The following is a 15,719-nucleotide window of genomic DNA, read 5'->3' as shown; positions in this document are numbered from 1 at the left end:
TTTATGAGGACAAACAAAGGTACAAGTAGAAGTGGAAAGGAGCAACAGAGAATACTTGGTGGCATAAGATTCCTGAAGAGATGGGAATGGATGTTATTGAGGGCAAAGATGGAGGGGTTGGCTTTGGCAAGGAGAAGGTTAGCCATTTCCTAGTCTGGAGGAAGGGATCGGGATGAGAGAGGAAGTTGGGTTTGGTGAGGATTAAGGTAAGGAGACAGACAGAAGGTAAATAGAGGTCACATTTGGTGGCTTAGTTTTCCTCATATTAAAGGTATCTTGGGTGAAATTTTTCTTAAAAGGTGATAAAAGTCTTTGGGGGAAATCTTTCCTGAAGTCAAGTCCTTGTGCTTCAAATGATTCAGAGTGTGGCACATGAGACAAAATGATATTCACGGAGAACTGTGTATAATATCTGTAAGTCCAAACGCAACAGCTTCAAGAAAACTTCCATGCTGAAAAATTATATGCAGACCTATAACGTGGGCATTGTGAAGAGATCCCTTTAATATGTAACTTTTACACGTTACCAATTTGTTTTATTCTCTAAGTCCAGGAAGCGTTCTCTCAGTGCAACACTTCAGCCCATTCAGCACTCATAGAGGACTTCCCATGATGCTCAGATGCATCTTGTGGCAGCTTATCAGCCCACGCCCTCAGTATTCTTGTCAAGTGCACTTTAGCATTCCAAGAAATTTATTCTATAGTCAAGAAGCAGCTAGAGATTTTTCTTCTACTTGGTACTTTTCTGTTTCCTTTTTGACTTTGACCTATGTTCTTTTATCAGGAACGTTATAAATATATAATTTTCCTATAAGTCTGTAAGTGGGTCCTGAATTATAGGCTTATCAATCCTCTTTTATATGTCTCAGGGAAAAACTAGAATTCAGTCTGAAAACATTGCCCTTGGATGTTCTAGTACAATTATGACCTTGGAGAAAATACAGTAGCTTTTCCCTAGGAATTGTATCTGACTGCCACTGATATCGTATAGATATTTTATATGAGAAAGAATAGAGGGTCACTTGAAACTTCATAAAGTACGTCCTAATAGTCACTTAAATGCAGGACTAGAAGATGACTGGGTTAGTAACCCACTTAGGCCGAGTGATAATAGATTTTCAAAGCTGAAAATGGAGAAAATATCAGGCTTGAAATATTGGTCAGAGGCTAACAGGCGGAAAGAATAATATAGTCATGTTGATTTTTATGATTGAGATAATTTATAATAAAAAGAATATAAAAATTGAATGTTCCTTTTACATTAAAAAATATTTTAAAATGAGATCTTCTCATTTCATGTAAAACATTTTTTGATTAGGACACTACAGCAATGCTCTGACAGGCATAAGCTGTGTTAACAGGGAGCATAGGGCAAGCAGAGAGAGGGCAGGAACCCAGCAACTGCTATGAGGTCGATCCCGGCAATGATGGTGGAAGGACCGGATCATTTTCATCAAGTAATAGAGAATACATTGAATCCAGCTGGCCTGACTTAGCTGTTGAATTTGTTAGTCTACAATATTAAAACAATATATATTTTTGTATTAAGACTGACTAAATTTTTATACATTAAAGCAAAATTAAGCTTTTGTTGTTATTTCCAAAAGACCTTTATTTGTCAATTTGTCCATTTGCTTAGCAAATGATTTCCTTCTTATTGTTCATATAGCTATTTTCTCGTTTCAGAAATGTTGTCCCATTTTGGGTTATAGGTCGAAGGTCTTGTCTAAAAATGTTGAAATGTACTATTCGCGAACAGAAAACTGAAAGTAGGGTATTTTTCACTTCTCTATGTTTTTAATATTTGCAGAAAGTTTATGTTTAGTTTTCATTTTACAGCCTTATTTTTGTACTTTCTTTGTTGTTGTTGTTTAGGGATTAAGTGTTATTTAAAATGCAATCACCTTCTAAGTTCCTAAACTCAGTGTTAAAACTTTTAGTTTACAATTTTTGGCTTTAAAACTAAAACTTAGTTTTAAATTTCCCATATGAATCTCTATAATTTATTGTCAAATTTTAGAATTGTCTTTATCACTGTTAACTTTTTTCATGACAAAAAGCAAGAATATATTTAGGGATTCCAGGGTTGCTATTTTTAATCACTGAAAATGATCTTTTACTTACTAATAAAGAAATAAGCTATTGGAGATAAGAAAGGACACAGAATAATACAGAATTTATTTTCTAGAACGTGTTCTCTTGCATCAGTGGTGCAAGTGGCTTCACAAATTAAATTGGAATGGAACCAACAACTTTTTCATGGTTCACTGAAAGGCCCTATAAAGAAACTCTAATCCACTAAGAAGCAGTGTTTAATGCATCAAAGTGTGTCATATCCCACCATTTAGCATTGTAGTTACACACAACTCTGTGGTATAACTCTGTGCATCCAGCCAAGGGACTCATAAGACATTGTGCCAGTTTAGTTGGGGTGGTAGGATGCTTTGAGATGAAACTGTTTATAACCTTTTCTTCAAATACCCTAGACATTAGATTGTAGAAGGCTGGAAAGTTTAAGTCTGTTCTAGTTCTCAGACATTTAACATGAAAGACAGTCATAGAGCTCATTTGTCCACTGATGTCTTACAGATGTTGTGGTTTTGGTTTTTTGTTGACTGATGAGTTAATTGTTGTTTACATAAAAACTCTCACTGCCCTGGATGCTAGAGTCACATCCACCTTTCAGTCAGTGTTGCAAAGAATAATACCAAGCCAAAAATATTTTTATCTTTTGAAGAAAAGGACCCCACATTTTACTGTGAAATAAAATACACATAAAGTACACAAAATAAAAGATGTACAGCTCATTGGATTATTATAAAGCAAACACTCATGCTAGTGAATTGACTTCTAGAACACCATTTTCTCCATGTGTTCTTTTCCCAGCCGAATGTCCTTCTCTTCAAAGATAAATGCTGTCCTGCCTTTAATAGTATACCTTCCCTTGCTTTGCTTCATTGAAGATACCTCATAAATAGGAATTCTCAAGGACTATAGTTTAATCTGCTTTTATTCAAAGAATCAGACAGCATGTGTTTAATTTCTGACTTCTTTTACTGATTGTTGTGATTGCAAGATGCCTCCTTGTTTGTAGCTGCAGTTCATTACCTTTCATTCTTGTATAGTATTCCAGTATATTCAAATTTATTAAATCCACTGTTGATGGGCTTGTAGGTTAATTCCAGTTTTGGACTATTATGAATTTTTACTGTTATGAGTAACTTTGTATTTACTATGATATTCTTATAAGCATTTGGTACACATGTGTTGTTTTATGTATGAGTGGAACTGCTGGGCCATAGAAAATACATATGCTCAATTTTAGAACTTTTCCTAGGTGGCTGTGGCAATTTACCCTGCCAATAGGATTGTATTGAAGTTCCTTTTGGCTTTATGTCTTCATCAACTCTTAGAATTGTCAGTTCTTTTAATTTTATTGATCCTGGTTGGATTCTCATTGGGAATGTAAGTTGCATTAATTTTAAATAGTTAGTGACCCTTTGGATACCCATTTTAACTGGTTGTTCAAGTCTTTTGCCAATTCCCCTTGGGAGTTATTCTTTTCTTGCTGATTTTGAGGAGTCTCCTATTATTCCTGCTATAACTGCCCTATCAGTTGTACTTGTGTATATCCTTCCCCAGTCTATGGCTTACTTTTTCACTGTCATAATAGTATCTTTTGAAGAAAGAGCAGTTTTTATTTATTACTCAAAACTATCAACCTCTTACTCAATATATTTGACAACTTTATTGAATAATTTTTAACACCTCTCCCTTCCTCTATAAATTATTTTCATTAAGTATCAAGAATTCAAATGAACTAATGCTTGCCAGGAAAGAAATGATGGAAGGCAGTGAAAATTTTATTGAACTTTGATATATAATTATATAGTAAAAATGAAAGTAAAATAAAAAGTAAGCATAAAAATATTACTATTCAAAAGGAAAATTAATATATAAATATTTTCAACTATATTATTTTATTTGGGGGATTATTTGTGTTGCTGTTGTTGCATTCTGCTGAGTCAATATTATTTTATCATAATGTCAGTATCTTACTTGAAATTCCTTTACAAAATTTCCTTACAAATTTCTTTACATATTTACTGGTTTTTCGACAAAAGTATAAATAATTTCAGGGCAAAAAGCCCACACAACTATTTATTCCACAGCTTTCCTCTCTACCTATTGAAACTTTGGTTTGTATGTTTTTTGTCACACAGCTATAATAATGTTCTGAGTAAATAATTGTATAGCAACTGAGTGAATTTTCATAAACCTGAAAAATAAAAAGATAAAATGTTATGTCAGCAACATGATTTAGTTGTAACTATAATTGCAACTATAGGTATTTTTTTTTAAAAAAAGTTACTGGATAGTTACTACTAAAAATCATTTACATAGAATATTATTATATGAGACTGTAATTAAGGGATCAAACCCAATTTCAAACTATTGGGTTTTAAAATACATAATAATTTAAAAGAATATATTTCAATTTGCATATGATTTTTTAAAAATCTAAGTTATAGTACTGCTTGTTAATATCAATTATGGTTCCTTTAATCAACACAAAATCCCTATGAGCTATCATTATCTAACTTTCAGATGAGGGATCAGGGTCTAGAGAATGTAAATAAACTGCTGAAGACCACACAGTTTATACGAAACAGAGCAATTATTAAAACATAGATCTTTTTAAATCTAAAATTCATGCTGCATTTACTATTATGTTCTGTAGAACTACCTGTTTTGTGTCAAATGGAAGCACTATAACCAAAAACAATGTGAAAGGAAAAATATTCTAAGGATACTCAGAGGTCCAATATTAAGAAATGTCTGAATTGTTATAGAATGCTGGGAAAAAGCAAGGATATAGCATGACAGACTCCCTTGCCATGCAATACTGAGACCATCCAGATGCAAAACCAATTAGAAAAGGCCAGAGAAAGAGCAAAAGAAAGAGCAATATTGTGAACATTGTTTTGTGAGTAACATAAACACAGGGTCTGTTTGCTATCATCTTTGATAATTTCTGAAATAGGCTGCGTGATGATAGATTATATGCGGGTACTGAAGTGCTTTTTAAGGTACAATAGTGCCTGTGAATAAGGAGCGTGACCCACATAGATGTATTCCCAGAAAATCTAATCCATGAAAATCTGACTTTTCCACAGATGAAATAAAAAGTGATGACTCATATTATAAAAAAGATTCTTACTAAGAAAAATAATTCTTCAGGATTCCTTTAAATCCAAGCTCTTCTTATGCTTTTAGAAAACAATTCCATCTGCAATAGTTGGATTTATACAAGATTTCTCAGGAATATATATGCTGCACAAAGTACTATAAGCAACATGTAAACTTGAATGAATGTACTATTTAGAGAAGATTCAAGAACAAATAACCTGGAATAACAAAATCATATGCACAACCCAACTAATTCAAATATTTGTTTAATTTTAATTATTTATGATGCAGAATAAGGACAAATATATTATTGTAATCAAGATTTATAAGCTGAAGTGCATACTCAGCAATCTGAAATTCGAGTTTTGGCTCATTCAGACATGAAAATCCATGTCAGAGTTGGTTTATAAAGAAAACGTGTCCACCACTGTAACAAATACTTGTGTCAAAAGCATCAGCTTAAGGACGTGACCTAAATTGAATGAGTTAAGGCTGTATTTTCATGTCAGAATCTCATTGCTTGAGCAGTCTGAATACGTCATAATGACTTAAAGCAAGAGGAAAGGATTTCTGCAATTCCTCAGAACTAAGAATGCGGTGATTCATATTCTATTATGAGCTGAGACACAGTCAGGTGCATGCATTAACATGTTATTAAACATTCACAGATGAATTAAATTTACAAAGTTTAAAGTGAATAAATCAGCACATTTGTATTTGCCAGACAACAGCAACTGTATAAAGGCAAGTAATAATATCTTAATAATACAGTAATAGCAATAATCTGGAGAAATACTTTTTCATTTAAGGAAATTAAATGCATTTTAAAGAAAATTAAGGATGTTTCTCATCATTGAATATGACTTAATCTCTCTTTGCTCTTGTATATAGGCATTTCCGAAACAAATGAATTATTGTATATTCATGCAAAAATCCCTTCCTGTAAGAAGAGCTTGCTGTTCTTGGAATAGATGGCTCCTTGTTGTCCCAATACCAGTTCAAATGCCACCTCCTCAGAGCAGTTATCTATAATCCCTTGTCTAAAGCAGTCTTTCCTTTCCATTGTTCTCAGTAACAATCTATCACATGATCTTTTATTGTATGTAGCACTCATCCCTATCTGGAATTATTTTTTGATGTATTAGCTTATTTGTCTCCTTTTTAGTCTTCCTCCCTCTGAATAGAAGCTTCATGGGAGAGAAAGAACCTTATACATATTCCTACAAGCACAAAATCCCCAGCCTTTAGAAGAGCTGGCACACAGCAGAGGTGCTCAGTTAACACGTGTTGAGTGCATGAATGAATACAGAAAGGGGTTTTAGCTGGCATTTTAACTGGTTAAATATTTTGATGTTATATAATTAACATATCCCTGGAATATAGCTATGGCTAAATATAATGATCAAACATTAAAACAGTCTTGGTAATTAGAATAGTCTTTCATCCAATTTTTTATTTTAAACATAGTTATTGCCTTTGTGGAAGTTGCATTTTACATGGGAAGAGAGTGTTAAATAGGTGTCATGTAAGAAAAAGTTCAAAATATAAGGGAAGAGTGTAAAAGATGAAATTGATTCTGCAGTGTGTTCAAAAAGAACTCTAGAAAGAAATGCTTTTTAAGCTAAGACTAGGGTAACCACACAAGTTATTGTCCAAATAGAGACCCATTTGAGGGCAAACAGTGGTACTAAACATAATTAACTTACATGACTGATAATTTTACTTTTTTATACAGATGGATTTATAAAATAGTTCTCTAACACACTGGTTTTAAAAAATAAATCTGGTCTGGCATAGTGGCTCATGCCTGTAATCCTGGAACTTTGGAAGGCTAAGGCAGGAGGATCACTTGGGCCCAGGAGTTCAAGATCAGCCTAGGCAACACAGTGAGACCTCATTTCTACAAAAAAAATTTTAAAAACAAAAACCACAGTTAACTGAACGTGTTGATGTACACCTGCAGTCCCAGCTACTTGGGAGGGTGAGGTGGGAGGATCACCTGAGCCCAGGAGGTCGAGGCTCCAGTGAGCTGAGATCATGCCACTGCACTCCAGCCTGGGCATCAGAGCAAGACCCTGTCTCAAAATAAATAGATAAATAAATAAAATAAATAAATAAATAAATAAATAAATAAATAAAGTTTTTATTTAAAATGGACAAAAAGAGACATAACATGGGTGGTAGGCTGCCTTTGAGCTAGCCTTCAGTCTTCCTGGTATCCACATTCTGTGAAGTCCCTCCCCACATTGAATCAGGGTTGGTTGTCAGGATTACAGAACATGGCAGAAGTGGCAGTGTGAGATTTTCAAGTAGATAATAAAAGGCATTGCCACTTCTGTATTGCTCTCTTGGATTGTTCACTCTGAAGGAAGCCAGTGGCCAACTCAATCAGTCTGAGAAGAGGCCTGTGTGGGGAGGAACTGTGGCCTTCTGCCAGCCACCAGCACCAACCTGCCAATCATGTGAATGAGCCACTTTGGAAGTGGATCCTCCAGCCGCAGACAAGCCTTCAGATGATTGCGGCTCTATCAGTACCTTGGCTGGGATCTCAAGAGAGACTCAGACAAACTGCTTCCAAATTTTTAACATACAGTAACTACATACAATACCTGTTTATTGTTTTAAGTCACCAAGTTTTAGAGTTACCTGTTATGCCGTAATAGATTTTAACAATTATTACAACAAATAATTCAATATGTGATCCTAGATCCTAGACTAGATTCTTAATCCTGCCCTGGAAGAAAAAACAATGCTATAAAGAATATCATTGGGTCAATTGACAAAATTATTATATGGTGGTTAGATAAGAAAAAGGTATCATATGTGTATTGAATTTACTGGTAGTGATAACTGTACTATGGTTTTGTAAAAAGGTATTTCTTACTCTTAGGCAATACATGATTAAGTATTTAGAAATAAAAGGCAAAATTTATGACACATACACTTTCAAAAATTTTAGAAGCAGACAGAAGAGAGAGATAAGGACAGAAAAAGAGAAGGGATTAGAGAGTATGCAAATGACTAAAGCAAATGGAAAATATATTAACAATAAATGAATGTGGTTGAAGAGTATATGGCTATTCTGTGTGCAATTTTTTTTTCTTTTTTGAGACAAAGTCTTGCTCTGTCACCCAGGCCAGAGTGCAATGGCGTGGTCTCGGTTCACAGCAACCTCCACCTCGTGGGTTCAAGTGATTCTCCTGTCTCAGCCTCCCCAGTAGCTGGGATTACAGGGGTGCACCACCATGCCCTGCTAATTTTTGTATTTTTAGTAGAGACGGCGTTTCACTATGTTGGCCAGGCTGGTCTCAAACTCCTGACCGCAGGTGATCCACCCGCCTCGACCTCCCAAAGTGCTGGGATTATAGGTGTTAGCCACCATGCCCGGCCTCTGTGTGCAATTTTTATTCTTTCAAGTCTTCTATATATTTGACATTATTTCCTAATAAAAAGTTTAAAAATGTTTTCCAAACAATGGAAATATATAACTTGGTACCTTAAAGCAAAATTTGAAATCTTTAAATTAATCATATGAATATTAAAAGTAACATAAGCAATTAAATACTTGATATATATTTGTATATTTTAATCAATTTCTTAGCTATAATTGTATCTAATACCACAACATTAGTATTTTTCTAAGGAATATATTTTTACTATGATCTATTATTCTTAATTATTTTCACAAAATTGCTGGTAATCCTTAAAAAGTTGTATTTTGTTGCTGATTAATACCGTCAACTGAACTATCTCTGTAAAGCATAATGATATTTTAAATTCAGAAATTCTCTCTGTTGTTTCTGAGGTACCTGGTAAAGTCAGAGGTGATTCTGCTAAATAATGGATAGGCTTATTTGTAATGTTTTGTATTAAATAATGTAAATATTTCAGCCCCAACAATTTGGTACCATCTTTTTGCCTCCTTTTGAGTAGCTTTCTTGATAATATTTTCCATGAGGCAAAAGACATCAAGTAAGTTTCATTAATTTGTGAATTTTTAATGCTTATCCAAATTTAGATGCTCAAAATCATGAGTCTTATCAATTACATTGTATTCTGGGATGGAATATAAATTTATACAATTAAAAATGGCTCCATCAAAAGTACCTTGAGATATTTCAAAAGTGAAATATTTAGTTTTGAAATGAAATTTTGCAAAGAAGTATGAGGGAAGCCTATGGGGTATTATAATATTCTGTATTTTGATCAAGATAATAATTACATAGGTATTAATGTGTGTATATATATGCATACATAAAAATCAAGCTATAACATAATCATCAAACAATAAAAATATATCCAACTATACCCTTATGGTCATTTTACACACTTTACTGTATGTATATTATACCTGGAAAAAAAAGTTAAATCTTGTATACCAGCAGAATTCTCATTATTTAATTTGTTCAATTCCTTTCTTGTTTTTGTGAAGATAAATATTGATATCTTTCTGGTTGTAAGATTTGGTTGTAATCATCACTGCAATTTTTAAAAGCTTCAAAACTGAAATTTTGGGCATATCCTTGGTTAAACACTTCAATTAAAAATATTCAACTGATTTTAAACAAATGCAACCAAAATTTGAAGGCTGATTTAATTTACAAAAAGATTCATTACTATTGTAGGACACAGGTTGACTTAAAGTAATTAATCAAAGGTGAAAACGTTTCTAAAATCCAAAGAATGGCAAGCAGCAACATGGGAAAGTATATACAGCTCTGGTGGAGCTTTTTCTGTTTAACTCAACATCTGCTCCATCAACACAATTTTATCATTTAGTTAGATTGTTTGTGTGTATATATAACGATATTGTAAAATCTGACATCTACAGGTTCTATTTTGATTACTAGATATTGCTATTTGTTTGAACGTAATTATTACTTATGTGTACACCACAGAAGACAGAGGAAAATTTCTGCACCATAAGTTCCTTAATTTACTAAGAATATTGTCTTTATCAACATGCTATGCTCTACCACACACGTATTTTGTTCCTATTATCACCACAAAACAAATAACTTTTTGCTCAATTTTTAACTTAATCAAGTTTACAATAACATTCACAATGAGATAATATGTTTCACTTTCAGCAGAATGAACTTCTTAAAGCTTCTCTTTGATTTCATGAATTGTATGAAAAGAAAATCTATTATTGGAATTCACTTATTTTCTACCTGAAGCATTTAATGACCCTAATGTTATCCTGACATCATTTAACTGTCTGTGATTTTTTTTTCTCATAAAGCCACCACATTAACTACCATCACTTTAGGTTTCAAATATGTTAAAGAAAACTTGGAATCGACATAAACACTGCTAATTTAAAATAACAGGTAACTTGATCTAGATAAAAAGATGTGTTTCATGGATTGATATATAAAGACACCTTCTGTAGTTGCTTGTGTACCATCCATCATAGTGAATAGTAAATGTCAACAGTGTTTGCAAGTTACACATTCATCATCAACTATCTTGAGAGGTGAAAATTCAGTATTTAATTTTTCATTAAATATGCACTCCCATTGCTGCTGAAATAATTTATTGCAAAATAAAAACGCATTATAAGAAATAAAAAATAGTAACTTATTATTTATAACCAATAAAGGACAAAACAATTCTAGCAAGAACTTCCAGATTCTTCCATGTAAGTGCCATGGCCATACTATTGATCCTCTATTTCCTTCATGTCTTGGTCTTCTCAGGCTGCCAAAACAAAATACCATAAACGGTAACTTAACAGAAATTATTTATTTCAGAGTTCTGGAATCTGGAAGTCTGAGATCAGGGTGCTAGCATAGTCAGGTTCTGGTGTAAGCTCTTTTTCTGGCTTATAAATAGCCACCTTTTACTGCAAAGAAAGAGGGAAAGGGGAGGGAAGGAGGGAGGGAGGCGGAGAGAGAGAAAGAGGGAGAGAGATGTTTTTCTCTTCTTCTAAAGTCACAGTTCTATTGATTAGGGCTTTCCCCTTATGATCTCATTTAACCTTAATTATTTTCTAAATACTTGTCTTTATCTGTATCTCCAGATATAGTCACGTCGGAGGTTAAGGTTTCAACATAGGAATTTGGTAGGGGGAAGGGGAGCATCCCTGACTACCCAAAACTTATGTCCTCATGATGGCAAAATACATTAATTCCATCCCAACAGTCCCCCAAGTTTTAACCCATTCCATCATTCCATCATCAACGCTGATGTCTAAAGTCTCATCTAAATATTTTCTAAATCAGACATGGAAGAGGCTAGAGCTTTGATTCATCTGATGCAAAATTCCTCTCTAGCTGTGAACCTGTGTAACCAGGTGTGACAGGCATAGATAGGATAGCCACTCTCATTCCAAAAAAGGAGAATTAAGAAGGAAGGAAGGGTGATGGGTCCCAAGCAAGTCCAAAACCTAGCAAAGTAAATTCCATTACATCTTAAGGCTTTGAAATAATCCTCTGTGGTTCAGTGATCTGCCCTTCAGGCACACTAAGGTAGCAACCTCATCCCCATTGCTCTACAGGATAGAAGCATCCCCTTGGCTGTCTATGAGGGTCCCACCCACACAGCTGTCTGCAAGGTCCCACCTCCTCCCTAAGAAAGGCCTGCCTACACAGCCCTCCATGAGGGCATACCAATCTCTGAGGCACTAGCAGCATTTTCCTAGCCTGCTAAAACCAGATTGATGACTCTACCTATTAAAACAGAGTAGGAAATAGCTTTGTCCTCTGGGTCTGTGGTGGGCTTGGTAGCTCTGATGATCTCTGACTTGCCTTCAGGGTCAGTCTTCGATTTCTTGCATAGCTCTATCATCTGGTCCTGTAGAATCCAAATAGTCTGACAGTGTTCCTTCATTCATCCTTCCTTCTCTGTTCTCTTTAGTCCAAACTGGCAGTATTTTGCTGGCATAATCCCCTCTGTATCCCTGGATTCTTAAGTTAAGTCCATGAATAGCACTCTGGATCTCTTTATGAAATGGTTGTTCAGCCACACCCTGAGTATTCTTTTCAAAACAAACTTTCTCATTGTTTGCAATATGGATAGGCTTCTAATAAATTGGCAGTAAAAAAAATAGTAATGGCTGATTTATTATTTGTAACCAATTCTTATTTTTCAGTCCTTCAAATTCTGATTATTTTTGATAATCCCTTCTTTAATTCATCTTTCTCCTTTTTGTATTTTCCTATAAGTAATCAGGAGGAACCAAGTTCCTCCTTCAATACTTTGTTTAGAAATCTCCTCTACTAATTTCATCAATTTCATCCAATTTTATCACTTGCACAAAACACTCCAACACCATTTGGCTAAGTTATGTGCTACTTTATCACTGGATTATCTTGTCTCCAATTTTCAACATGTGTCTCATTTCTATCTGAGACCTTGTCATAATCATTCTTGATATCCATATTTCTTGGATGCATCTCAAACTCTTTAGCCTTTACTTATTATCCAGTTCCAAAGACACCCCCACATGTTTAGGTATATATTGCAGCAGCATCCTAATTTACAGTACCAAAATCTATTTAGTAAGAGCTCTCAAAAGGAACAGAGCAAAATATGTGTGTGTGTAAGGATTTGGCTCATGTGATTATAGATGCTGAAAAGATCTGTAGTTGGTAGACCAAGGAAAGCCAATAATATAGTTCCAGTCCATATATAAAGGCCAGAGAACCCGGAAAGCCAGTGGTATAAGTTCCACCCTGGAAGCCTGACACCCAAGTAGAGCCAAAGTTTTAGTTTAAATTTGAAGGCATGAAGAAAAAAAATTTCCCAGCTCAGACAGTCAGGCAGGAGGAGTTCCCTGTTATTCAGCCTTCTTTTTTTTTTCTATTTAGTTCTTCAATTGATTGCATAAAGGCCACTTACATTAGGGAAGGCAATCTGCTTTACTCAGTATACTAATTCGAATGTTAATCTCATTCAGAAATACCCTCACAGACACACCCAGAACAATGTTTAGCCATGGCTGGATGCCCCACGGCCCCATAGCCAAGTCAAGTTGACAGACAAAATTAACCCTTACACTGCATATATTTTGCATACACCTAGCTTGTAATTTCCCATGAATCCAATACTTGGTGGCTTGCCAACTTCATGAATCCACTAGCCTTAACATGTTCTAGGTTCAAATATTAAGTATTCCCCAAGCCTAGCTGATACTTAACCTTTAGTTCCTCATATGTAATTATTCTCTCACCACAAGGATTTTACACATGACGGTCTTTCTGTCTGAAAACACTCTTTTGTATGCACTTTGCTTTTATTATTTTAATCATGTATATTAAAAAACAAGTGCACGAGACAAACCAAAAATGAAAGTAGAGACCACCATATCATGGAATATCTCATGTATCATGTTGAAGATTTTCAGATTCTTAAGGATATTGGGACGTCACTGAAAGAGTTTAAGAATGGGAGGTACATCATCAGATTTGACATTTTAAAGTTCCATCTAGTACTATTGTGAAAAATATATTAGAGGGAAGTAAAAGATGTGGAGGGACTGTGAAAAGCTCAGGTGGCCCAGGCAGGAGGATGCATTAACTTCTACCAACATGATAGAGGTGGGGAGGGAAAGAAATTGATTTGAAAGATATCTACCTGTGGACTTGATCGAACTTATTGGGTCCTCAGGAGGGGAGTGTGGGCTGTGTGTGTGTGTTTGTGTATGTGTGTGTGTATTTAGTCTGTGTATGTGTGTGTATACATATATATTTGGTGTGTGTATATATACATATATTTAGTTTTATATATATATATATTTAGTGCATGTATATATATATACACACAGCCTATATATATACACACACAGCCTATATATATATATATATATATACACACACACACAGCCTATATGTATACACACACACACACACACACACACACACACATATATAAAGTTTGGATAGAGAAGGATGTGTCAGCTAAGGAGACTATGAAGGAGCAGATAACGGCAAGAGGACAAGCAGAAGAATGTAGTATTCTGGAAGAGAAAGGATGTGAAGATTTCAGATGGGAAGGCTCAAATGGAGGGAAAATTGCTAGAAGTCAAGCAAGTAGGGAGCAGTGAGTGATATAAATGTCACTAGTCATTTTAACAAGATTTTTGATGCAGTGATAGGGGCAAAATTCATATTGGAGTAGATGGGGGAAAGAAAGAGAGATAAAAATAGCAAATGGAAAAAAAATTTAAGTTTGTTTGGAAAGAGTGAAGTAACTGAAAAAGAGTTGGAGATATGATTATTATTTTGAATTGAAATTTATACATACAAATAGACACTGACATTTTCCCACCACCATTCCCCAGATTACATATGCTGATTATAATTTAGAAAAGAAAACACAAATTGCTAATAATATGTCCTCTTAACATTGCTTATTTAAGTGATATCATTCATAGAAATATTCCAGAGGATTTTAAGATGAAAGGGAAACAATGCACTGATTTCTTAAATTGGAAAGTAGTGACATTAACTCACAGTATATCTTAAGTAACTTTTTAAAGCTAAATGAACCCTTGCTGAGTATAGCCATATGGTATACGTTTTGGGCTATGGGAATTAGGGTGAGAGGTCTTTAGGATTCCCTCACCTCACACAGAGGTGAGTAGCTCAAAACGAGAGCCTGGACATCTTCACACATCTGGAGTTGGTAAATGTTTTAAATTCTCAGTTTCCTAGTGTTTTGCTAATTTATAGTCACAATGAATTATTGTATCAGATCCCCTTGATGCCAATTTGTTCTTTGGGTCTGACACCACTTCTATTGTTTATTGATCTATTTTTGTCCTTACTGTTCTAGTTGGGGAATGCTGAACTATCACTCTTAATATATAAATGTAGAGACTATTACATGTGCAATTTATTGATAAGTTTAGGTTAAGTATAGGTCGCACAGTGGCTCCCAAAGGGCTAAACCAGAGCAGATAAACAGCTATAGTAAGTCAAATTAATTAAATTAAATTAACTAAATCTCATTGATCAAGAGAGACTGCCATTTTTTTTGTTATAATAACTTAACCACTGAAGTAGTTGTTTTCATTTGAATGATAATTAGTGTTGCATTAGCAACAATGGGTATGGATTTTGGGTTTCAAAATGCAAAAACATTTTCCCCATGAAAACAAATATTCATTATACTTGGGCATTAAAGGAATTCAGTCTTTAACTATCCTTTTCCATAAACAAATTCACTGTGTAGGCAAGGAAAAACTGTTCTAAGTTACTATTTAGAGGAAATAAGAATTTATATCAGGATCAGGTATTTTTTAAAGTGAAATATTCCTTTTATTATGGAATATATGGAGGTCAATAAATAATGTGTTCTAGTGCAGAAACAATAACAAACTGCTTCTTACAAGAAACTGCTCATTTTGTAATGAAGAACGTTTTTTATATGGATGTGTACCATTTGGTGGAATATACTCTCTCTAGAGCATTAAATGTTCTTTGGACAAATAAGGGTAGTCATTCAGCGAATGTTACAGAAATCTTTCAAGAGTCCTGTTGAACGTTTCAAAACTTTATGTTTCACTCATCCTAAATTTAGTG

This window comes from Homo sapiens, chromosome 13 (assembly GCF_000001405.40).
Source record: "Homo sapiens chromosome 13, GRCh38.p14 Primary Assembly".
NCBI classification, from domain to species: Eukaryota; Metazoa; Chordata; class Mammalia; order Primates; family Hominidae; genus Homo; species Homo sapiens.
This window is presented reverse-complemented; position numbering follows the sequence as displayed.